Source organism: Homo sapiens, chromosome 2 (assembly GCF_000001405.40).
Source record: "Homo sapiens chromosome 2, GRCh38.p14 Primary Assembly".
Classification (NCBI taxonomy): domain Eukaryota; kingdom Metazoa; phylum Chordata; class Mammalia; order Primates; family Hominidae; genus Homo; species Homo sapiens.
In genome coordinates this window covers 42,941,033-42,963,395 of record NC_000002.12, presented here as the reverse complement: position 1 = coordinate 42,963,395, position 22,363 = coordinate 42,941,033, and the positions used below count along the sequence as shown (strand labels likewise).

The window sequence follows — 22,363 nt, the reverse complement described above, 5'->3', positions numbered from 1 at the left end:
TCACCTCTGGATGAATTCCCTGAAGGCTTCAGGAGCATTTGCATGTTACAGTACAATGGTCCTCAAACTTCAGCTTGCATGGGAATCCCTGGAAGCTTGCTAAGGCACAGCCAACTAAGTACAAACTTGAAACACGCACACTTCCACTGTCTATGCGGCAGGCCGAAATAGGGATATCTGGGTTCTGTCCATCATAGGGTTCATTATTGTGTGGGCCTGTCTGGGGCAGATCATTGAAAGATATTAGGTTGGTTTTATCTGGGCATCTTAGGGATGCAGCAGAGAGGGTGATATGGCAGACCTCAGGAGAGACTGGTTGGGGGAGAGGAAAGAAAGGGGTGGAAGCGAGGGATGGAGGACAGGGAGGGAGGAGGGAAGAGGGGGATGGAGTGGGAGCCCGCTCGTGCATCTCCTGCTGACCTTGTTCTTCCTACCTATCTTCTCACCTCCTCCTCACAACCACCTTACAAGTCGGCAAATGTGTGGCTCTGAGAGATTACACAACCTTGCAGCAGATACATGGTCCCTAGGGAGTCAGGCTGGACTCTGTTTCCTCTACCTTTTCTCCCTCCAACTCTGAGTATTTTCAAACGAAATAAGCCTGGGAAGCGGGGAAGACTCAGAGCTGTGAATACATTTTTTTGTTTTCTGAGCTCATTCGGCTTTGACAGGAAGCTTGGCTGCGTGCGGGCAGGCGTCTGAGCCCTCCCTCAATGGTGCTTTTTAGGCATGCCTTTATACAGAATGTAAAGAGTCGCAGTTATAAATATCAGCGGGCTTCTGTGGCCCACTCCGTCCCTCAGCCCCCACGCCCAGCTGGGATGTCCTGGGACTTCCCGCTTGCCCTCCTCCCCCAACCCCTCCAGCCAGTACCACCCTCAGTGCATCTGGGAAGGGTGGGAACCGTGATGCGCCTTGGGCTGGGAAACCAAGGGGGAGTGAAACCCAAAACTGAATTTCTCCTTTTTCGGAAGAAAGGTTGTTTTCAGTGTCAGGAAACCCATAATCCTACAGCCAGCTGTGAAGATTCCAGAATGCCTCTCACTTTACAGGTGAGGAACTAGAGGGCCCCCTGGAAAGCTTATGAACACCCTGACCCCAGAGCTCACCCTCCCTCACTGGGAAAGAAAGTCCCTCTTTTCACTTTGTCACCCCCACCCACCTCCCAAGGCACCCACAGCATGGTCACTCTTTGATGACTGTTTGTATTATAAGCGGCTCCTCCAACTCTGTTCTACAGTCCCCTCCATGGATGCCCTGGAGGGAGGAGGCAGGCGAGACGCGGTCCCATTTTACAGACGGCCAAAGAGTTGAGTGACTACACAGCTCATCCCAGGAGAGCTGCCTGGCCCTGCTTCCTGATAGCCGGCCTGTGCCCCTAGACCTCCCCCGACCCCACAGGCCCCCTCCCCCTCCCTGTATGCACCCCCTGTCCCCTCACTGAGGCCCAGGAGCACAGTTGATTTAGAATTTCCTGCCCTTCTGACAATCTGCGTGCACAAAACGGGCTTTCTTTAAACCGCTTCGAAGGGCATCTCCTCCAGCCCCTTCCCCTGCCTTCATTAAACGCCTCGTCTGAAGCAGGATAAATCTTCGGTGATTAGAAGCATGCTCCTTGTTCCTGTCCCTGCCCCGATGGGAAGCGCATTTCTCAAAGGGTTAATTAACAGCCTTCACACAGGCCGCATTTAGCAACGAACACAAAGCCACACACATAAATAACGTCTGGGGCGGAAGAAGAGGGTGCAGATGGTTTGTGACTTTGCCGTCCAGAGTTTTCTAAACCGGTGTGAACCACGTCCTGTCGGGACCAGGACCATGAGTCAGGGTCAGGCTTTAAGGTGGGCCAGGCCAGAGACGCTAGTGGCCAACTTGGTGCTCTTTGAAAGCAAGTCCTAAAGGAAAACAGAGCGTGGAGCCAAGATGTGGGGAGAGAGGGAGGGGACGGGGTAGGGAGGAGGGCCTGCTGGCTGACCTGGAGAGAAAAGAGCCAAAGAGAGCCAGAGATGCGAACCGGGAAGAACCAAGCAGGAGGCCAGAGACATTGAGTCCCAGCTCCCTGCAAAGTAGTGCTGAATTTACCAGGGGCTCCACCCAGAAATTCAGACCCTGGGGCATAGGGTCCCACTCTGGCCCTGTAGTGAGAGTGATGGCAAGACATCCCCAGCCTAAGAGGAGTTGTGTGGGGCTGAGAAAAGGGTTTCAGGAAGGATAGCCCTGAGGAACCCTGGAAAGTTCTGGAAGTGGCACAGTGATATTCGCAGTATTCCGCCTCATCCATGCATAGGGTCTGTTCCTCTACGCAGCCTTCAGCTCCCCTGGGGGCTCATATGCCCCTTCCCAAAGCTATGGGAACACATCTGAGGTCTCAAAATGCATGGCAACAGGAACACAGGATTCACTTTACAGAGATCAGCACTGTTGCAAGGGATGCCTGAAGCCAAAACAGAGGAAAACGAGAGCCAAGAAGCAGAGGGAGCGATGCAGATGTGCACTGGACATCCACAAACCGCAACAGGAATGGGGAGAGGAGAGAAGTGATTGGAAAGCCAGTTTTTGGCATTCGGCTGGCTGCCATTCTCTTCACCTTTGTGGTCCCTCCAGTTTGCCCTCCTCAGCCCTAAGGGGTCCTCCCCTACTCGGAGAGGCCCTCACCATGCTCACTCAGACCCTCTCCTCCTAGGAGCCAGGAGGTGGGACATGGGGAGGGGGACAGTGAGTCCTGAATGGATTTCTGCCCTGGAGGTGAGGGCACCCCTGGTGCCAGGGAGAGGCCCTACCACAGCACAAACTGGGCTGCCCTTCCTGACCCAGGGATGAACCAGCCTGGGCACTCAGGCCACGGCTGTCTCCCTGTGCCAGGCTCAGCGCCCTGGGGATGAGGGCGCAAAGAAAGAGACGGGGCCGACAACACAGGCCCAACAGCAGGCCCTGTGTCTGGGAGCGGCAGTTTCTCCCCAAGTAATTTTCCACAGTTTGGCTTTTCCTCCACACACAGGCTTGCTCACAGAGTTCAGATGGTGGCTGGTCCTCCAGAGGGTTACTCTGGGCCACTCACCTGCTCGGTGACCCCACCTGCATTGATTTCTGCCCTCATCACTCAGCTGTCTCCAGCTTGCTTCTCAAAGCCCTGTGCCCATCTCAGGGATATGGCTTCTCCAGCCCCCAGAGCTCACTTCACCCCATCAGGGCCTGGATCTTGGGTAGTTATGGGAACCCCTAAATGCACCATCCTCTCTGGGCCAGGGCCAACATTTCTGTTTTCTCAGAAGGATCAAAGCCCCTTTCCTAGCCCTGCCAGGAGGAAGCAGTTTTGACTCGTGCAAATATCTGAAGCCCATTTGGGATTTTACTTTGGTGAGAAATAAATACACAGCCATCTGCAAATGATGGAAATATGACTTAAGTAACTTTTTGGTCGAGGCTCCTGGGCCAGAGGCCAGATGGAAATAAGACCTTGTATCTCAGTCCTCCTTGCACACTTTCAGAAAAAAGAAAAGGCTGGGGGAAAAAGTTGGTGGAAACTGAAGTTCAAAATGGAGTGTGCTAAATTTCTTGGCCTGGGAAAGGAAAAATAAACATCAAACAGCTACCCCATTCAAGTGTGCGTTATCTTGCTCATCCTCGCCAAGAACTCACCCTCCTCCCTTCTTTGACCGGGAATTGCTGTGCCCACGAACAGCCCCCACGCCCACCCCTAACCCAGGGCAGGCAAACAATGGGCCAGAAAACCCTGCTCAGCCAAGGCCTCTCCCCCTGCAGCCCCCAGAGGCCATAAGATTGGGAAACACAGGCTATTTTTATGTGTTATTTGTCTACCAACTGTGGCTCCAGGAGCCTGAGCAACAGTATCATCTGTGGGAGGTACCATTGATTTTTTTGTTTTAACTCGCTCAGACAAAGCCACATTTTCGCAACTTTCAGAAAAGCCAAAAAAGCAACACTCTGCAAGGCTGACCTCTTCCCTGGCTTGCCTTTCTGCCCTCCAGGGAGCTCTTTCTGGGTGTGTCTGGGCCCCTGTTGCTCTGTGCTGGCCCACACCAAGCACACAGCCCCAGATCCAGAGGGCCCAAAGGATAGCCAGTGAAACAAGGAAGGGTGAGGGGGGCAGAGAGAGGATCTGAGGAGAAGGGGTAGTGTCTCCAACTGGTGAGGGAGGCACAAACCCTGCCCTGGGGGTGCCAGTGTGATGGAGCAGTGGGGCTAACAGAAGAGTGTGAGAAGTCGCACACAGAGAAAATGGCTGCTTGATAGCCATCCATCTCCCAAGTCCACGGGTTGGGATGCTCTGTGCAGCGGGTACACCCAGAGGCAGATACAGGGCTGAGAGGGTGCAGGCCAGGTGCGACTGCCTAGGCTGGGGCTGAAAGAATCCAGCTGGCAGAGGTGGCTCACACCTGTAATCCCAGCACTATGGGACGCCGAGGCACGAGTCCAGGAGTTTGAGACCAGCCTGGGCAACATAGTGAGACCCCTGCCTCTACAAAAAATTTTAAAAATTAGCTGGGTGTAGTGCTATGCACCTGTGGTCCCAGCTACTTGGGAGGCTGAGGTGAGAGGATCGCTTGAGCCCAGGAGGTCGAGGCTTCAGTGAGCCTGTTTGTGCCACTGCATTCCAGCCTGGGTGACAGAGCAAGACCCTGGGGGCGGGGGTGTGGGGGAAAGAGAGAGGAGACGGGGAGAGAGAGAGAGAAATGCAGATAAAAGAAACATAAAGTGAGAAGGGAGAAAGGAAAAGATGTAGAGAGTGGGCAGAGATGAAAAGACATAAAGGAAGAAGAAGAGGGAGGAAGCTCTTCTCTGTTGACCCCATTCCCAGCCATGATTCCCAGCCATGACCATCAGGACAGATGGAAGAGTGACTGCTCAAGAGGACCAGAATGAGGGACACCCCCCGGAGTGAGCCATTTCCTTTCTCCATCAACACCATGCCCATGTCCTTGGGGGTGAGAAGGTAGAGGTCCTCCAGCAGCAGCCTGGCCGGAGCCACGCAGACTTCCCTATACTCTTCACTTCTCAGTTTTCTGATCTGTAAAACGGAGATAATGGTAGTAATACCTTCCTCACTTGGGTATTGCAAGGATTGACTGACATTGTGTGTGTGTGTGTATGTAAAATACTTGGATGCCTGGCACACCATGAGGGCGGTACAGATGGCAGCTTTAATGCATGTGGTGTGGAGTCAGGCATTCCGCGGGGAGAGGCAGGGTTGTGAACGCTGGAAAGGAGAGCAGAGGGGGCAGGCAGAGGAGTCTGAGAGAAGGAATCCATATGTCCCTAAGCTGGATGGCACCAGTGGCACCCCCAGTGCTGACCGTATCCAGGACCCCTGAAGGACCTGAGGCCATCCCTCCTGCTAGATTTCCCTGGCTCCAGGGCTCCCCACTCTGAGAGCCAAGGTCAGTCTCCTGCCAAGCCCTAAGCCTTCCCATTCATGCCATGCTTTTCCTTTGATGGGATGGTCAAGCTGAGCCAAGAGAAGAACAGTGGCTGCCAGATGAGCCAGCAGCTGGGGCTTAGGGCCCACCCAGAGCCCTTAACACATGTCTAGGGCAAGCAGGGAACCAGGGAGAGGCCATGATGCTGGCTGCCCCTGAGGGCCAGCTCCTGGTTAAGAATCACTTTCAGCAGCTGCTGTAGTGCCCTCAGGATCGCCACAAGGGCTCGGCGCCCTTCTGTTGCAGGAGGCCCAAGTTGGGAAGGAAGTGACAGCACTTCACCCCTTTTTTACCAGCCTTCAATGGCACCTTCTCCCACCCACCTGGGCTGACCCAGTGCCTGCCCTGTCTCCACTGTGGCCATCTGGGGAGCCAGGCCCACCCCACTACCTTCCCCCGCGAGAGGGGCCCTGGCAGCCAACCCCTCCCGCATCTCAGGGGCCAAGGTAGGAGAAGGGAAGCCAACCATGGGGGCCACTAAGAGGCAGTCCCAAGACCCAAGCTGCAATCCTGGCTTAAATTTGCTGAGCCTCCTTTTACTCATCCAGGAAATAAGGATAACCATTTTTACACGTTGGGAATCTGGTGAAACTATGACACATATCTGTAACCACTTAGATAGCATTCTGACCTGTTCCTTTTGTGAGTGGTAAAATGGTGCAATTGGTGTGTTAATCAACAATCTAAGGTCACTGGTTCAACTGTGGCTTTCAGCTGAACCCAATTAGCATTTGCATTCAAACCACCCAGTGAGGGTTGGAAAAAAAATCAAGAGGCTGGTGCTGGGCGCAGCGGCTCACACCTATAATCCCAGCACTCTGGGAGGCTGAGGCGGACGAATCACCTGAGGTCAGGAGTTTGAGACCAGCCTGGCCAACATAGTGAAACCCCGTCCCTACTAAAAATACAAAAATTAACCAGGCATGGTGGTGTGCACCTGTAGTCCCAGCTACTCAGGAGCCGGAGGCAGGGAGAATTGCCTGAATCCAGGAGGCGGAGGTTGCAATGAGCCAAGATCGCACCACTGCACTCCAGCCTGGGCGACAGAGCAAGACTCCATCTCAAAAAAAAGAAAAAAAAATCAAGAGGCTGGCCTTTCCAGAACCTCGTGGCAGCAAGAATGACAGCGCTGTTTCTGGAATCTGATGGCATGTGACCCGGACTATGCAAATTCTCCAGCCCTCAGTTTTCTCATCTGTAAAGGGGGATGGTTCTAGCACACTCTGCATTTAGGTTTGTGTGATGATTAAATAAGGTAATCCACGTAGATCTCTTAGCACAATGCCCGACCGTCACACACAATGCCTGACCGCCACGCTCAATGCAGGTGGTCAGTGCTCATAAAACAAATGAAGGCACCCTCTAGGAGCTGATGGGGAGAGATTCTGTGGGGAAAAGCACAGCACAGCAGCGTGTATAGCATGCTGCCATCTGGGTGGGAAGCAGAGAGATCAGACCACATGGTCATTTTTGCTCGGATTTTACATAAGGACATTCTGGGGAGATGCAGAAGAAACCAGTAAACAAAGTTACCTCGTGGGAGGTGGGGAAGTGGAAGGGGCGGGGCTGGGAGCAGGACTCTGAACTGTTCCCCCCCCCTTTTTTTTTTTTTTTGAGACAGAGTCTCGCTCTGTCGGCCACACTGGAGTGCAGTGGCGTGGTCTCGGCTCACTGCAACGTCCGCCTCTCGGGTTCACGCCATTCTCCTGCCTCAGCCTCCCAAGTAGCTGGGACTACAGGTGCCCGCCACCATGCCCAGCTAATTTTTTGTACACTTCTTTAACAATTCATCATGTGAGGGTTTTGGATTTACCTATCCCAAAAATGTTTACATTAACATAAAAGGTGTGCTTTCAGCATTATTATTCCTTCTGGGTGTCGGTTTCTTTCCTAATGAGGAAGGTGGTCTATGCGCCACTGCCTAACTAGACTTTTGTGGAATTCAGAAAGAAAGTGAATATGCAAGTGCCCAGAAGAGGAGGATGAGGCTGAAGATGAGCAGGATGAGGCTCGGATGAGGAGGACGAGGCTGAAGATAAGGAGGATGAAGATGAGGATGCAGATGTAGACAAAGATGAAGGAGGGCAGGGGAAGTGGGTAGGGCAGCTCTCCCGGCCGCTCTCATTCAAAGGGCCATGGTGGGACTCACTGAGCCACTGTCCCAGGAGCTGAGCCTCAGTAGAGTTAGATAAGCCATCTAAGCAGTTTGCTCTGGCCTGGGCCTCTGGCCACTTTCCTCAAACACCCAAGGCCCAAAGAAGGCCCCTCAGCCAGCCAAGCATGCTAGGAGAGTTATCTGCACGTGAGTGGGGTCAGGGGTAGGGCTCCTGGGGACCTGCCTGTGACCCTTGACACCTGGCTGGAGCTCTTGGGGGCAGGAAGGGGTGCCAGGAATATGAAGTTGTGGGATGGATGACGGATTGAGAAGGAAAAGGAGAGATTTGGCCGGGCATGATGGCTCATGCCTGTAATCCCAGCACTTTGGGAGGCTGAGGCGGGCGGATCACAAGGTCAGGAGTTCGAGACCAGCCTGACCAATATGGTGAAACCCTGTCTCTACTAAAAATACAAAAATTAGCCGGGCGTGGTGGCGGGCGCCTGCAGTCCCAGCTACTCAGGAGGCTGAGATGGGAGAATTGCTTGAACACGGGAGGTGGAGGTTGCAGTGAGCTGAGATCACACCACTGCACTCCAGCCTGGGCGACAGAGCGAGACTCCATCTCAAAAAGAAAAAAGGAGAAATTTGGCTCAGCTGAAGACAGGGAGTGGCTGGACCACACCAAGGTGAGGCAGGTACAGCCTAGTCCTGGGCTCAGGGACAGGTAATGGGAGAGTTATCTCATTTATTCCCATCAGCAACTCTGCAGCATAGATTCTATTATCATTCAGACGAGGAAGCGGAGGCTTAGAGCGTCTTGGGTCATGGTATGGCCAGCTAGCAGGTAGCCAAGATTCAGATTCAGGCACTGTGTTTCCCTCAAACCACTACCCCATCCCACCTCCTCACCCCAGATCCGGACTGGCCACTTTCTGGTGGACTCAGTTTATAGCAGCAGGATAGAAACAACCATAGCTTAGCTCAGAAATCCTGGCGGTGGCAACAGCATATGTGATGAAGAGTTCCTCCTCCAGAGGGTGTCCACGCTAATGAGACGCCCAGAGGCCAAGGGCAAACGCTGGGAGGGGCCGGGCTTGGGGATCCCCCAGGACTCCGTGCCCCTGAAACTTCAGGGGCACAAGGCTGGAAGAATGAAAGCACTTTTCATGGAATTCCAACAGGAAACCCACGAGAACATTCCTGCTTGAAGGATTCCAACAGGAAAACCACGAGAACATTCCTGCTCGTGGGATTCCAACAGGAAAACCAAAAGAACATTTCTGCTCATGGGTTCCAGCTGGGAGCTGGAGTCCCTATTCCCTGCTAAGGAGGCTGCTCAGTAGGTAGAGGGGTCACAGAAGAGAGCTTGCCTCACTCTCATGAGCTGTCCCCAGCCCCCTAGATGAATTCAAAGATCCCTTTGACCTCTGACCCCTCAGTGGAGCGCCAGCTCCCAGGGTGGGGCAGGTCATTTGGGAGCTGGCCTGCCCAGCTCCCAGTCTTGCTGCTTTTGCTTAAAGTGACTGGCCTGGCCTGGCGCAGTGGCGCATGCCTGCAGTCCCAGCACTTTGGGAGGCCAAGGTGGGAGGATCATTTGAGCTCAGGAGCTCCAGACCAGCCTGGGCAACATAGTGAGACCTCATCTGTACCAAAAAAGGGAGGGGGGCACACGTGGCGGCTCACACCTATAGTCTCAGCACTTTGGAAGGCTGAGGTGGGAGGATTGCTTGAGCCCAGGAGTTTGAGGCCAGCCGGGCAATATGGTGAAACCCCCTCTCCACAAAAAATACAAAAATTAGCCAGTCCTGATGGCACACACCTGTAGTTCCAGCTTCTTAAGAACCTGAGGTGGGAGAACTGCTTGAGGCTGGGAGGTTGAGGCTGCAGTGAGCCAAGATCACGCCACTGCACTCCAGCCCTGTCTCAAATAAAAATAAAAAACCAAAGTGGCTGTCCTGCCATCTGGCTTCCCAGACAGCACACAGCCCCTTCAAATGTTTGTCTTTTTTTTTTTTTTTTTTGAAATGGAGTCTTGCTCTGTTGCCCAGGCTGGAGTGCAGTGGCATGATCTTGGACAGCTCACTGCAACCTCCTCCTCCTAGGTTCAAGCAATTCTCCTGCCTCAGCCTCCCGAGTAGCTGGGATTACAGAAGCATGCCACCACACCTGGCTAATTTTTTATATTTGCTAGAGACGGGGTTTCACCATGTTGGCCAGGCTGGTCTCGAACTCCTCACCTCAAGTGGTTTGCCTGCCTCGGCCTCCCAAAGTGCTGGGATTACTGTGGTGAGCCACCACGCCTGGCCCAAATGTTTGTCTTTTAATGACTGCCCTTCTCTGCCCCTCCAAGGGGCATAACATCATAATCAGATAGGGTGAGGAGTTGTGAGCAGGTGAAAAGCCTCTCTTAAATTTAATTGCCTCTTGAGACTAATCAGTCAACCACCGAGTGTGCCTGGAGAAACAGGACACACCCCTCACCCTGCCCAGCCTCTGTGGCGCCTAGCAGCAGGGCCTGCCTGAAACTCCGTGTGGGGAGGGGCCCTGAGGAACGGGACAGGGTCCTGGCCTTGAGAAACTTCCACTCAAGTAGAGGGGCTCGGAGGCACTCCCACAGGAAGTGCTTTTAGCATGCTAAAAGAGAAACGACCACTCACCACAGGAGCCCTCAACGCCGCTTGTGTTTTCTGTGGGGCATCTACCATGGGCCAAACACGGTGCTGAGCTCCAAGGCAGACTGACGTAGCTCCTCCTCCCGCAAAACCATGGCCTGATGGGAGAGACCGGCGAGTCAATGGCTGTTTCTCAGTAGGAGGGGAGTCACAATCAAGGTTTGCACAGGATTCACCTGTAGGACACTCAGCTCTGAGAGGAGAAGGGAGGAGGTCAGGGAAGGCTTCCTGGAGGAAATGATACTTGAGCATGCTGAGGAGTTGGGCTGGAAGTGCCAGTGGGACTTTAGGGGGTGGGACTGGGAGGTGGTGGGGCTGACCTAAGCCCTGGTAGTAGTGGTTAGAATTTGGGTCGTGGGACAGCGATAAGACCTTAAGGCAGACAGAGGAGACTGAGTAGGTTTGGGGCACAGGACAACAGACCCCAGATGGATGGATCTGGAGGGGAGGGTTAGGACAGACAGAGGGTCTCCGAGAGCTGGAGGAGCTGGAGGTCAGCTTGGGACATTAGGATGTCTCTCTCAGTGAAGGAAAGAGAATAAATGAATCAAGGTAGAGGAGAGGGTAGCAATTAAGAAGGCAGGTGGGAGGGAAGCCAGTCTTTAAGGGGGTCTCAGAGCTTGTACAGGAAGAGTGGGGCATTCAAAAAAATGAAAGAAATTCGGAAGGAGCTTGTAGTAGTCCGTTTTCATGCTGCTTATAAAGACGTACCCAAGACTGGGCAATTTACAAAAGAAAGTTTATTGGACTTAACAGTTCCACGTGTCTGGGGAGGCCTCACAATCATGGCAGAAGGTGAAAGGCACGTCTCACATGGCAGCAGACACGAGCAGAGAGCCTGTGCAGGGAAACTCCCATTTCTAAAAGCATCAGATCTCGTGAGGCTTATTCACTGTCATGAGAATAGCATGGGAAAGACCCACCCCCATGATTCAATTACCTCCCACCGGGTCCCTCCAGCAACATGTGGAAATTCAATTTGAGATTTGGGTGGGGACAGAGCCAAACCATATCAGAGCTCCCAGGACCTTTTCATCTGCAACCATGCAGACATCCCATTCCCAAGTCATGGAGTAGCATCTTAGCCCCTATGGTGAAGCATTGGAGCCCTTCCAGGGAGGCAGGCAATGGCCAGAGGCAGCCATGGCTGAGGTAGGAGGGAGTGGGTCTCACCCAGCAGGACACTAAGAGGGACCAGAGGCAGGAATGTAGGAGTCAGGACTCCGGGGAGCAGAGGTAGCAAACTAGGGACACGTGATGGCTTCAGGTTATGGGGCCAAAAGCCAAAACACTAAGCCAGGGTCAGGTCAGGAGAGAGACAGGCCCATGGGCCTTAACCAAGACATTGGATGTGAGAACAGGGCAGGGGGCCAGGACACTGGATGCGAGTACGTGGCTGGCAGGGCCTAATGTGTGCTGGAGCAAATTCATACCAGCTCCAAGAGCCATTGTTAAATGCCAGTAATTTTTCAAGAAAGTTGTTTAAACATTGACAAAATCAGCCACAGTGGGAGTATTTACACCATGGAAATCAGCAAGTGCTACAAATCCAGGCCACGTTTTCCCCGCCAGAAAGCCGGCACTGCAGCTGGTCCAGAGAGATGGCTGAGAGAGACCTCATGGGACTGGGGCTCATGGGACCAGGTTCTCACCCTTACTCCATCACATGATTTTGTGCCATTGTTGATGTTCTCACCCTGGCTTTCCACAAAGGACTATTCAGGGGTCAAATGAGAAACTGTGGCTGGATGTGCCTGCACAGGACAAAGCATTGCATGGAGTGAGAGATCATCATTAGCGGGTTTCCTGGTGTCTTCCTGGATGTCTGATCTAAATTTAGGTCCTTGTAGTCACAGTTGAATCCCAGCCACTGCCTTTCCTTCCTTCCTGCAGGCTCTCTGTAGCACAGCCACGGGAAGTCACTGCTGGAAGGGGTCTGCCTTTGTTGTTTCACCTGCAAGTTTGCATGCATGCTTCTGGGCAAAGTCCCTCCAAACCTTCCCTGTGCCTTCTCCAACTCCAGGCCTGCAGGCTTCCTCCTGCTGAGACACTTGCTGGGCTCGCTGCTCCTCTCCTGGTATCCCAGACTGTCCCACCCTGCCCCAGGGGTTCCCCTGTCCTAACCACCTACCCCCCTCGCTCAGTCACCCCCTGAGAGAGCACATTCTTCCACATCAGGACACCTCAGGCAAGTCCTTACCCTCTCTAGGTCCCACGTATACTCTAAGGATGATGCCAGCCCACCAACCCTCAAAGGGCCTCTAACAGAGCCTATGAGTCTTTCTGGAAGTAACAGAAACTTCAGCTAACAGGGACTTAAACAATATAAAAGTGGTTGCCTACTAAGAAGTCTAGAGGCAGGCTAGTCCCAGCTACTCAGGAGGCTGAGGCAGGAGAATGGCATGAACTCGGGAGGCGGAGCTTGCAGTGAGCAGAGATCGCGCCACTGCATTCCAACCTGGGCTACAGAGCAAGACTCAGTCTCAAAAAAAAAAAAAAAAGTCTAGAGGCAGGCAATTCTCAAGTTGGCTTTGCAACTCCAAGATGCCAATGCCTCTAAATTCTCTCCCTCATCCCCATATGGTCTCAAGATGGCTGCCACAGTTCCAGATATCACATCTTCTTAAATCTCCTTCCAAAGTCAGGATGTAGGGTGATGGTCAATGTGGCAAGAGCTCTCTTTATGTGCTTTTCTTATTTGATCAGAGATGAAAAGTCTTTCTCAGAATCTTTTCCATCCCCACTCCCACAACCCAGTCTCAGGTTGTGAAGAGATAACTTTGGTGAGGTTGTCCATCACAACTTTGGAGGAGTAAATGAACCTATTTCCACATCAGTTGTTCATCTGTAAAATGAGGGCTAATGATATTTACCCCAGGAGGTGGTTGTGGGGATTGAATAAAGTGATCTAGGCTGGCCATTCCAAGTACACAATCCTCTTGGCTTGGTTGGTTCAGAGAGGGACATGTGACCTGATGATACCAACCAGAGTCTTGCTTTAAATTTTGTCTGTGGATGCTGGAGGGGGTCTGTCTTCCTCTGGGATGTTGAACAACGAGGCTCAAGAGAGCCTAAAGCAATTGCACGTAACTAAGCGATTGTTACCATTTGTCTTGGTAAAAAACAAATTTCAGGAACTAAACTCCATTTCACTGAAGCCTAAATGCATCCTAGGAGGTTTTCTAGAGCTAGTCCCTCTGAGCAAAATATATTTATGCCCCTGAATTGATCAGATCCTCCTGTTATATGGATTCATGGAGCCCAGTCACTTCCCCTCATAGTTTGCAACAATTTGTAATTAAATATATTACAAATGATATCATGCCACAAAATTTAGGATTCAAGAAATGTTACATTTCTTAAATGTTCCACATTAAGTTGCATCTGGCTAAAACCCTCCTTTGTCAAAGTTATAGAAAGTTGATGCAGAAGGTGATGCAGAAAGACCCCAGAGTTTGCCCCACCCATGAAAACATGTGTTTTTAACATAGTAGGGACTTAACTGTCAACCATGGTTGTCCCCAGTGCTGCCCACGAGACAGTAGAGGGATTAGGGCAACTTTGAGGCAGGCTTGACCTGGGGGGCATTGCTCAAGGTTCCTGAGACTGGGCATCTGGGCGCAGTTCTCCAAGGCACAGGGCAGCCCCCACCAACATCCAGGGCCCTGCCACTGCAGCACTTGATGGGGGCGGATCTCTGGGGCCCCTGCAAAACCCCTAACACCTCTCGCCTTCAGTCCAAAGAGCCTCACAAGCCCTGAAGGCCATGGCCCTCCCCTGGCCAAATCTGACTGACACTTTGTTTACCACCTCCTAAGGGGCGTAGGCCTTTCAAATCACAGGGGCAGCCCACCTGGCCTGGCAACTTCTCCATTCAGCCGGAAACACAGACCAGAGACTGTTACTTTCCTCCTCGTGATAAGGAAATCTCAAACCTCAAGAACTCAAAGGCCAGGTGCTCCAGAAGGGTAAAGGAAAAAGCAAATATTTCTTCCTTTATCTTGATAAGCCAGCAACCTAGAAAGTGGAAAAATGAGACCCGACTTCTCAACAACTTCTCATTGGCATCAAACCTACCTGTCACATATATCTGTATATGGTGGACAGGGGATCCTAGGGGCTGGTGTCTAATTTGCTCACTATTTTATCCCAGTTTTTTGGCTCACAGTAGGGCTCAGTAAATATTAGTCCAATAATTATTAATCAGAACTCTTTGTGCTCTAAGTGACAGAAATTCAAACTGAATCAAAATTTTTAAAAAGATAATTGGCCGGGTGTGGTGGCTCACGTCTGTAATCCCAGCACTTTGTGAGGCCGAGGCGGGCGGATCACGAGGTCAGGAGATCGAGACCATGCTGGCTAACACGGTGAAACCCCATCTCTACTAAAAATACAAAAATTAGCCGGGTGTGGTGGTGGGCACCTGCAGTCCCAGCTACTTGGGAGGCTGAGGCAGGAGAATGGCGTGAACCCGGGAGGCAGAGGTTGCAGTGAGCCGAGGTCACACCACTGCACTCCAGCCTGGGTGACAGAGTGAGACTCCGTCTCACAAAAAAAAAGATAATTAACTGGCCCTTGTAACTGGGGAAATTGAAGGAAGACCTGACTTCAGGCAAGATTGGAACAACAATATGGTGGAGTATGATTTTCTCTCCAGCTCTATGGCCACCTTTACATGTTAGTTTCATTCCCCCAACAGCTTCTTCCTCATATCCTTGGGCAATGGCTCCAGCAGCTTCCAACTCTCTTGGTCATCACTCAGCATCTCAGAGGAAGACAGATCCTCTTTCCAGCATCTATAGCTTGAATCTTAAGCAAGACTCTGATTGCATGATGTGTCTATCCCTGAACCAGTCACTTGGCCGGGAGGACTGTGTGCTCAGAATGACCACCTGGGTCATGTGCCCAGCTCTGGGTGATGGTGGAGAGGCATCATAAGAAAGAACTTCACCAAGAACTGGTTTGGCTCCTGGAATATAAAGGGAGCTATGACCAGCTATATTTGCTTTGGTTTCCTTATCTGTGAGGTAATGGCATTGGACTACATGGGCTTCAGAGCAGGCAAAGAGAGAAAGGGTTGGCAGAAGCATCAGATGTCCTCCATATAGTGTTGGGAGCTGAGGCTGGGCGGGCTATGCATTCAGTTGGGTTCAGTGATGGTGGGTGTATTAGTTAGGGTAAGAAAGCTGCTGTAACAAACAACCCCCACCTCCCAATAGCTCAACATACCAAACTCAGTCACACCACAGTCCAAAGCATGGTGATGGGGTATTCATCTCCATGCAGTCATAGAGGGCCCCCTTATTTTAGCAACATCCTCATTCCCTAGAGTTCTGGAGTCTTGTGCTTGTAGTTGCACTGATGGGGAAGGAGTGGAGGTGGTACGTGGAAGATGATACAGGAACTGTTGGAGGCCAGGCCTGGAATAGATGTACCTTACTCCTGCCCAATAGCCATTGGCCAGAACTTGGTAGCTGCACATGGTAATAGCAAGGCAGGCTAGAAAATGTGTCCAGAAAGAAAAGCAAACAGAGTTTGGTGAGTTCCTAGTCCTGCTGCATTGCGGGAGGACTGAGGTGGGTTTAGGAGGTGGCAGGGGCAGCGGGGTAGGATGTGGTGGACCTGAAACTCTAGGCTGCCTGCCTCCAGATTTTTCACTTGGGCAGGTCATTTCAATTGAGGCAGATTTTTCAGCTGAGACTGAGCTCTCTGGGCCTCAGTGTCCCCAACTGTCAAATGTAACAAAGCCACCTCTAAAGCCCCTTCCCATGTAAACATTCTCTGCTTCGCCCACTGCCTAGAGCCTCCATTGCTCTGCGCAGCTCTGTTTCCCTGATCTTATTATCTCTGACCTCCCCTTTAACTTCACAATGCCCCTATTCCAGCCCTCCTTTCATCCCTATCTGCTTTATTTTTTTTCTCCATAGCACCTATCATCTGACGCGCCAAATGTTTTTCTCATCTATTCATTGTCTTCCTGCATGAGAATGAAGCTCCCAGGAGGCACAGATTTTTGTGTTTAGTTCACTGCTCTATCCCAAGAACTTAGAAAAGGGCTTGGCACATTGAAAGCACTCAGTAAATACTTGTGGAATGAATGAATGAATGACTTTTAAAACTGTTCCATCAAGTCATTCATAACAGAGCAACGCTGCCATCTGGTGCCAGAAACTTGAATTGCAAGCACAAACTGGAGCCGGGGAGGGAAACTGTGCCCAGGGACAAGCCTTGCCAAATTAACCCTATTTCATTGCTTCAGACACCACGGTCTGACTCTGGAGGGCTCAACAGTCCCGTGGGGTCTGGTTTTCTGTCCTATGTGTGTTCCCCTCCAGATCGCCACGTGACATCTGAGCCATTCATTAGGTTCTCAGAGGCATCAGGCACTCCGCGCTTGCTCTGTTTCTGCTCAAGTAACATCTGGGGACCGCTGTGTCTTAGAAGATGGGCTATCAGGGAAAAGATTCCAGCCCTGAGAGAGGATGAAAGAGAGAACGTATGGTGGGGGCTAGTAGGGAGGACCAAGGGGAGGGTGGGGAAGAAGGAAAGGCCTCTGTGGAGGAGACCAGGCCCACCTCCAGCTTCACTCCACGTTTGCTTTGGTCTCCTTATCTGCGAGGTGACAGCCTTGGACTAGGTGAGCTTCAGACCATAACTCAGCCTAGCCCTAAAATCCCACAATTCTTTTTTTTTTTTTTTTTTTTTTTTTTTTTGAGACAGTCTCACTCTTGTCGCCCAGGCTGGAGTGCAGTGGCGCGATCTCGGCTCACTGCAAGCTCCGCCTCCTGGGTTCACGCCATTCTCCTGCCTCAGCATCCCAAGTAGCTGGGACTACAGGCACCAGCCACCAAAGCCCAGCTAATTTTTTGTGTTTTTTAGTAGAGAAGGGGGTTTCACCGTGTTAGCCAGGATGGTCTCGATCTCCTGACCGCGTGATCCACCAGCCTCGGCCTCCCAAAATGTTGGCATTACAGGCGTGAGCCACCGCGCCTGGCCAAAAATCCCACGATTCTTAAGAAAGACCAGAAGGTTCATGGTACATCTAACTTCTGGATTAATGCCTAGAAGACGGGTTTCAGCCACTGGTCAGAGGCTGGCGTCCTCAGTCAGGGGGTCTCCTCATTAATAGGCAGGTGATCTAATTCAGTGGGGGTCTCTCCAAGAGGACACTCCAGCTTCCCTCTTGAGCCTTGCCCCTGCTGGGGCTGAGCACCAGCAGTGTGGCCCCGTGCTCTTAGTGTCTTGCAGCCAGGAGCACCACCACCTCCTCCCCCCTCATGCCCCCACACCTATGTGTGTTTGTGCTGCTCCTTTCGAAAGCCTAAGGACTGGCTCTGGCTAATCTCTGATGTCTCTTGGGTCTCTGAGGTCTGTATGAGCCAGGTTGGCTGCTCAGGGCATGAAGGAAGGGGCCCCGGAGGGACTTCTCCCCTTTCTTTCAGAGCTTTGGTTGTTGGTGACAGGAGCAGCTTCAGTGGCTCTGCCGATGCCTGCAAACCTTTCTTCCTGGCCTCCACCCCAGCTCCCTTCAGCACAGATGTGTAGGGCACCTTCCAAGATGCTGTGGGATTTAGAAGATAGTTTGGGCTCTGACCCCGAAGGGCTCCTTGTGAGTGGGGGCATGCCCCGTGCAGCACAGCAAACGAGCTGTGGCCATGCATGTGCGAACAAGCATCGAAGTCAGGAGTCCAGGCTGACAGGAGAGTTGCTTGGGAAGCCTTCTGGAGGGGTGGGGTCCCTACGGCTTCTGAGTCCACCCACACTGAAGCACTGAAGTAGAGTATCTGAGGCCTTGGGGGCAACCACCTTGCCCCAGCTCCTCTTAGCACCCAGAGTCAGGGGGAGTGACACCTGTGAGCCTCGCCCCGCCCCAATGTGGGGGTCACTGAAATGCGGGCCTGGCCGCCTCATGACACTAGAGCACCTGTATGTCCAGAATGCGGTAGGGACTCACAGAGACCCACCTTTTTCCTCCTTCCGTGCCCTTCCATCTCTTATTCTCCTACCCCCACCAGAGGCTCCTCTTCCCTCTGCCCCTGGGAGTCAGCTCGCTCAGGGTCCCCTGCCGTGCCCACTGCCCTCCCTCCCTGTGCAGCCTTGCTGTTCCTCCAACCTGGCAACTGGCTCCTATGTACTTCTAGGAGCACTTGCCCAGTGGAATAATGGGCCGGATTGTCTGTGGTCAATTCATCACCACTATCCCTTTCCAAGGTCTTCTCTGTGGCTCTGAGAGAAGCTAGGAACTACAATTCCCAGAATGCCCTGCTTGTGGGGCTACATCTTTTCTGGCTTGGTATTGGGCAGGTGGAAGAGAAGGAGAGGTCATTATTAAATCTAAATCAGATGAAGAGCTTTCTATAAACTGCACACCAGACTTCGAAGACTTTGTACAAGAAAATGTAAAATGTCTAACTAATAATTTTTATATTACTCCCATATTGGAATGATAACCTTTTATGATATATTGGGTTAAATAAAATGTATTAAAACTCATTTTGTCTCTTTTTGGTACTTTTAAATGTGACTGCTGAAAAATTCTAAAGTACATAAGTAGTTCACATTAGAAGTCTACTGAACAGAGCTGGTTTAAAGTATGCTGGTTTAAACTATGGTTTAAAGGGGCTGGGCGCAGGGGCTCACACCTGTAATCCCAGCACTTTGGGAGGCCAAGGCCGTTGGATCACTTGAGGTCAGGAGTTCCAGACCAGCGTGGCCAACATGGTGAAACCCAGTCTCTACTAATATTACAAAATTTAACCAGGCATGGGGGTGGATGCCTGTAATCCCAGCTACTCAGGAGGCTGAGGCACAAGAATCTCTTGAACCTGGTAGGCGGAGGTTGCAGTGAGCCAAGATCCTGCCATTGCACTCCAGCCTGGGTGACAGATTGAAACTGTGTCTCAGAAAAATAATGATAACTAAATAAAAAAATAGAGTGTGCTTGGGGATAGAAGAGGCACATACAAAGCCCTTCATAGCCACCTGAGATGATAAACAATGTTACATGTTGAATGGGGATTACTACCACATGAGAGTGGTGCAGACGTTGAGAGTTAAGAGCTTAAGGGATAAAAGGAGGTCCCTGAGGGCTCCAGGGTAGGGAATGAAGGAGGTGAAGGTAGGATGGAGCCCACCTTGGAGAACGGGGGGATGTGGACGGGAGGATGTGGATGGTGCAAGGGCGTGGAAGCCGTGCCAGGCAATGGATTCCATGGGTTAAGAGAGGAATAACTCATGCCTGGCAAGATGCAAAGGCCAGATGGTCTCAAGCAGATGTGAAGAAATGGTTATTGAGTCTCCTGTGTCTACAGTCACAACTCTATTCAGTCTACCCAATGCTGCAAAGTGTTGGGTGAGGGAGGCAGACAGAAAAGTCCTGTCTGAGCTCTGGGCACATGGGTGCCATCTCCTAGGGTGCCTAGGTCACAATGCAAACTTAAACCCAAGCCCCATCAACTTCTCCAGCTCTGTCTAGAATGTGGCTCCTTGAGGAGCCAGGTTTTCAAAAATTTTTATTTTTATTTATTTTAACTTTTATTTTTTCGAGATGGAGTTTCAGTCTTGTTGCCCAGGCTGCAGTGCAATGGCGTGATCTCGGCTCACCATAACCTCCGCCTCCCAGGTTCAAGCTATTCTCCTGCCTCAGCCTCCTGAGTAGCTGGGATTACAGGCATGCACCACAATGCCCAGCTAATTTTGTATTTTTAGTAGAGACGGGGTTTCTCCACGTTGGTCAGGCTGGTCTCGAACTCCCGACCTCAGGTCATCCACCCGCCTTGGCATCCCAAAGTGATGGGACCACAGGCATGAGCCACCGCGCCCGAGGAGCCATGTTTTCTAGGGGTGCTGGGGCCAAGGATCTAGGCTCCACGGGGCAGGGTGCTCTGCCCTGGTCCCAACTCCACGGGCCCTGCCTCCTTGCCCCAGCCTTGTCCCAAGCAGTTTCCTGGTGGTTGTAGACTTGAGTCAGGGGAGAAGTCACAGGAGGAAAAATGTGTTCCCGTCTGAGATGAACTCACTCCACCTAGACATTATGGAGTATGGTAGATGAGGTTGTGGGAACTATGAAGCCACCGCTTGAGAGTGCTTGTGCTTGGCATTTTGCAGAATTTCTGGCATGGCTGCCCCTGGTCAGCAGTGAATCTGAGAAAATCTGGGACCTCTGTGGCCCTGGCCTTGTCCTGTGGGACGGGCCTCCTGGAGCCAAGGGGGACTGGAATTGAGTCCACGTTGGATGTCGAGTCATTCTGGGAAGGGCTAGCTGTGGTTTCCAGGCCCTCTAAAAGGCTGCCCAGATACTGACCAAGAGGAGCCCAGAGATGGCCAGGCCAGAGCGAGTGCCAGAGCAGGTTGTCCTGCGGCCCAGAAAAAACTCTGATTCTAAAATCCTGAAGGTGCTTTGCCTCCAAGGGGCCTGCACGTTGAGGGACTTTTGAAAACAGGAGAGCTTTTCCACCATTGTCTCAGGGGCCTGTGCCCTTGCTTACAGAAAGAGTTAGACAGCAGCTCAATACATCCTTCCTAAGCACCTCTCTTCTACCCAATCCAGAAGCAGGCACAATGGGGAGAACGAGGGGAAGAGCTGAGAAGCTTTAAGGCTCAGGGTGTAGGAGCTTTGAGAGGCCATGGAGACCAACATGCCTTTTGAAGTAAAAATTCCTGCAACCACATCCCTGGTCATTAGATGTGGTCTTTGTCCTCTCAGAACAAACAGTTTAACAAAACCAAAGACATAAGCAGTGTTCCGGGGACTGGCAGTGTGCACATGGAGGCAGGGGGTTGTGGAGGCAGGGGGCTGTGCAGCCTGGAGTGTAAGTGCCAGGGGGGTCCTGAGCCCAGGGTGACCAGGGTGACCCATGCGAGTGGGACCATGTAGGACTGGAAGTGGGCCATCCAGACTAATAGATGGGAGTGTGAAGTGGGGAGTGTGAAGTGGTTAAATAATAATCATAAAAAGACACCAGGAGGAGGAAGAGGAAGGGGAGGGAGAGGGGAAGGGGAAGAACGAGATGATTAGAGAGACAGCAAGTTCCTCAACTCCCAAATCTCTGCTGCTTAAAATCCCACCATTAAATATTCATTTTGGGGAATTAAGTTTTGTGTTCTCTATTTTCATCTTTCAGAATGAAGCTTTCCTTGCTGAGAGAACATGTGAGGGCCCAAACAGGACATAAGAGGCTGAAAATCAAATAACAGGCAGATAGGAGAGGAATGAAGACAAACTCTGCCAATGTCACAATTTTTGCCGGAGATTAGCCAGTATGGCCAGCTGCTAGCCATGTCAACAGACAGGCTATGCAAGTACAGAGAAGACAGGGGAGGTCAGTGTGGACTAGGGGGTCAGGGAAGGCTTCATAATCCATTTGGGTCTTTACCCCCATTGACCTCAGGAAAACCCTGACATTTCACTTTGTTTCCCTGAAGTTCAGCCCTCCAAACAAATCTCCAAAATCAAGAGAGAAGCAAGGTCACTCTGACGCGCTGTGTTCTTGTTGACTTGTACAGCCTCTCCTTTCCAAAGCTCCCATCAGAGAAAAGCCCTTGAGAAGGTTTCACAGCAAAATTGTGAAGGTGCTGGGCTCTGAAGCCAGGCTCCACTGGCTGCATCTATGACCTTGACCTCCATCTCTCTGAAGCCCAGTTCCCTTATTTGTAAAATGGAACTGATGAGAGTACAGTCATTCTTTGGTGTCCGTGGGGGATTGGTTCTAGGACCCTCACTCCCCCAAGGATACCAAAATGTGACGGTACTCAAGTCCCTGATATAAAATGGTGTAGTATTTGCATATAACCTACACACATCCTCCCTATATTTTAAATCATCTCTAGATCACTTATACTTCCTGCAATGTAAATGCTATATACATAGCTGTTATACTGTATTGTTTAGGGGATGACAAGGAAAAAAAAGTCTGTTCATGTTCATCACAGATGGGACTATCTTTTTTTTTTCTCAAATAGGGTATTATCAATCCATGGTTGGTTGAATCCATCGATGCAGAGCCCACAGGTGTAGAGGGCCAACTGTATTTATTTCATAGGATTGTCATGAGAGCTGAACTATAAAATACACTTGAAGTACTTGGAATGCCAGGGACTGGGCATAGTGGCTCATACCTGTCATCCCAACACTTTGGAAGGCTGAGGCAGGAGGA

General features: G+C 51.5%; 1 long non-coding RNA gene across 1 annotated transcript in view, besides 1 other annotated feature; it reads right to left on the bottom strand.

Annotated features, from left to right (window-relative positions):
• The window catches only part of LOC112268413 (uncharacterized), a 31,124-nt gene extending 8,761 nt beyond the window's left edge, over window positions 1–22,363 (bottom strand). The window contains exons 1-2 of the long non-coding RNA XR_002959381.2: window positions 22,326–22,363; window positions 10,194–10,306 (exon numbers count right to left, since the gene is read on the bottom strand). This is a non-coding gene — a long non-coding RNA (uncharacterized LOC112268413). The remainder of the gene's footprint in view (window positions 1–10,193; window positions 10,307–22,325) is intronic.
• Window positions 17,046–17,845: an enhancer, noted in NCBI's record as "H3K4me1 hESC enhancer chr2:43172691-43173490 (GRCh37/hg19 assembly coordinates)". NCBI's record gives its function as "activates a minimal SCP1, AML or CMV promoter by ChIP-STARR-seq in primed H9 embryonic stem cells {active_cell/tissue: H9 hESC(primed)}" and the evidence as "EXISTENCE:reporter gene assay evidence [ECO:0000049][PMID:30033119]".